The sequence below is a fragment of the Homo sapiens genome, chromosome X (assembly GCF_000001405.40).
Source record: "Homo sapiens chromosome X, GRCh38.p14 Primary Assembly".
NCBI classification, from domain to species: domain Eukaryota; kingdom Metazoa; phylum Chordata; class Mammalia; order Primates; family Hominidae; genus Homo; species Homo sapiens.
In genome coordinates this window covers 68,988,540-68,991,703 of record NC_000023.11, presented here as the reverse complement: position 1 = coordinate 68,991,703, position 3,164 = coordinate 68,988,540, and the positions used below count along the sequence as shown (strand labels likewise).

Here is a 3,164-nt window from a genome sequence, read left to right as displayed (position 1 = left end):
TCCTGCCCACTCACCCCAGGCAGAAAAAGCAGTGCCAGACTGAACTTTGGGCTATGTGAGGGGGACTCATGAGCACTGAGTGAAGCAGGGAGGGATGAAAGAAGACATGAGAAAGCCAAAAAGAGCAGGGAGGAAAAGAGGGAAGATGAGGATGAAAAGGAGGGACACGTTAAGAGGAAGCAGAGGTATCTTTTCAGAGGCTGCCAGGGCTGACAGTCCTAGTGGGTTTCAAACTCCATTCCTTGGAGTGCTCCGGGGCCTCTGGGGCACAAGTGGGAGTCCAGTTGATGGGACTGTCGAGTCTCATGGCCTCTCAACCAGAACAAGACCTCCTTATCTGATTCAATATGGGGCTTTCACATAAGGTTTTGCTTGCTGAAAGGTTTTTGCTGCTAAAATAAGAAGGGAGGGAGGGAAGAACAAAGAGATGGAGGAAGGAAGGAAGGAAGGAAGGAAGGAAGGGAGGAGAAAGAAGGGAAGAAGGAAGAGGGAAGGAGGGAGGAAGGAAAGAAGAGAGAAGAAGAAAGGAGGGAAGGAGGAAAAAGGAAGGAAGGAAAGAAGGAAGGAAGGGAGGGAGGAAGGAGGGAAGGAAGGAAGGAAGAAAGGAAGGAGAAGGAAGAAAGGAAGGAAGGAGAAGGAAGGAAGAAGGAAAGAAGGAAGAAGGGAAGGAAGGAAGAAAGGAAGGGAAGGAGAAGGCGAAGGGCAGGAAGTGGAGGGGAGGGGAGGGGAGGGAGAAAGGAAGGGACTGGGGTGTGTGAGCTATACTACTCTTCATCCTCTGCCCCAAAACAGAGAGATCAGTTAGGGGTTGGAGAAGGAGGCCCCAGTCCCCCTCCTGTCAGTGCCTTGACCTTTCCTAAGGGACTGTGGGCAGCCAGAGGAACAGGAGGAAAGCAAGAAATTGCATTGCTCCTCCCAGGCAGGGCTGCTGGAGGAGGGAGTTTCACCTGATTTTCTGAGGAGCTGGAGTGTCTATGGAGAGGCTTCTAGGGTTCCACAGATATTGAAGTATTTTCTAGCAAATTCTGGAGAGGTAAGCAGTCTGAGTTGATCCCTTGTCTTTGACTCTCTTTGCCTTGCTGGGATCCTATTGAGCAACTATGTTTTCACAAGGAGAGAGAAAACCAGAAGAGCTTGAAAGCTCCAGCCCTGGCCCACGCTCTGGTGAATAGCTTCACACCTTCCACTGCCCCTTCCTGGACTTGAGGCCTAAACATTTGTGCCTAGGGAAGTGGCTTAGGAGGAAGACAGCAGCCCTCACAGAGGCTCTGGGACCAGGGAAGCTGGGCATTAGGCTTGGCACTGCGTCAAGGCCTGCAGATGCGGTGTGCATGGGTCTGGTTGGAGATGGGGGTTGAGTAGGGCTAAGGACAGGAGCACACTGAATGGAGTGGGGGCTGGCTGGGGTTGGTGGTGGGGTGGGTGGGCGTTGAGGAATCTAGGCTGGCCCTAGAAGGGAGGTTCCCTAGCCTAGCGGCTCTTGCTCTTGCTCAGCTGGCCGGCGGGCCTGGCCCCTCCAGCGTTGCCATAGTGCTCTGTGGGTCTTCCCAGCCGCCTGCCAGGCGGAATGTGGCCTGGACGGTTTCCCAAGGAATGTAATCAAGATGTAAATGGGGGGCCAGGAGGAGCTGGTCGATAGGGTTGTCACCTCCTCAGGCCTGTATGGAATCGGCTTGGACTGGCCTAACCGGGAAAATCTCCTGGTTGGGCTCTGCTCCGGGCCAGAGTGGCTGTCGAGTGCCAGCTTCCCCTGTTGGTGGGCCCTGAGAGATGGGAGATGCCTACGGGGGCAAGCCCTGGGGTCCCTCACTGGCCCTCTGGCCCACCTCTTTTTCCTGCACCCAGCCAGGCAGATGTCTCCCTGGGTGTGGGAATTGGGCTGGGGATGTCTGGCAGAGATTTGCAAAGGCTTCAGGACAGTTTTGGCTTATTAGTAGAGTTCAAAGGAAAGCTCCCAAGAGGCCCAGTTCTCACAAGTCCAGAGGCATAGGGAAGGGTTCCCCCAACCAGGACTGCCACCTTAGTTCCATCCTCCTAAGTCCTCTGGAACCAAGGCATTGGGCCATAGTTCCTGACTGAGGCGGGGAGCTGAGGCCTCCTCAAGTGGCCCATGCTCCTTGTGTGAGTGGCACTGTAGTTATTCCTGAGCTGCTTGCTCCCTTATAAGACACTGTTCTTTGATGAAGCCTAAAGAGTCACCCTGAGCCTGAGATGTCAGCTGCCAAGGTGCCCACCTCCCCCTTACCCCCAGGCCCTAGGACTGGATGGTTCCAGGGTCAAAGTGCCAGTAATGCAGCACAAATTTTCTGGGACCATCTCAAATCTCAATATGTGGTCCTGTTAGCTCCACAAAAACATCAAAATGTGCCTCAAATACCAACATTTTCGTTTCCAAATGTCAGAGGTCTTTCTGGCATCTTTGAACCCACACCATGGAGTCAGCATCTGAATTGATTCTATGTTCCACTCTCTGTCGCATTACTTAACAGGCTCTGAGGCCCTGGCCGAGTCAAACCTTTTTCCCTCTTGGTTCCCATTTTCCTCATCTTTCAAACGAGGAACTAGGTTGGAACCTGATTACCCTTGAGGCCACTTCTGCCTGTAACACTCCCTGTGAGACATGACATGGGGCCTTCCAGGCACGGAACCTCTGCCCTAGCCTGTGCTGGTGTCTCCAACCCCTTGGCCCTTCCTTTCCAAGAGACAGAGGATTGGAGCCATCCACTGTGCAATCAGACAGATCGTGGCTGAAGTCCCTGATCTGCTGCTTCCTGGATGGGTGACTCTGGGAAAGTCATTTTTATTCTCAGAGCATCACTCCTCAAGTCTAAAATGGAGCTTCGGAGACCTCCCCCTTTAGTGGTTCTGAGGACAAAATGAGGCCAGGATGTGGTGCGTCTACATCAGCCTGTCTCAGAGTAGGGGCCCAGGAAATGTGTGTGGGAAGAAGGGGCATCATGGTGCTCAAAGGAGCTGGAATTGTTCCCCATTACTGAGTGCCCTGGATCCTCCAGAGACATGAGTTTAGGGGATGTTGGCTGGTACACCCCACTATCCCAAGGAATGGGGGCAGCACTGGGCCAGGGCTGGAAAAGAGCTCTTTTTAGCAGTACCTGTGTAGAGACAAGGAGGCTTTCCCTGGGCAGCAGTGGGTCCACTGCCCG

The 3,164-nt window shown here is 53.6% G+C and overlaps 1 annotated feature.

Moving 5' to 3' along the window:
* Window positions 1,445-1,945: an enhancer, noted in NCBI's record as "H3K4me1 hESC enhancer chrX:68209602-68210102 (GRCh37/hg19 assembly coordinates)". NCBI's record gives its function as "activates a minimal SCP1, AML or CMV promoter by ChIP-STARR-seq in primed H9 embryonic stem cells {active_cell/tissue: H9 hESC(primed)}" and the evidence as "EXISTENCE:reporter gene assay evidence [ECO:0000049][PMID:30033119]".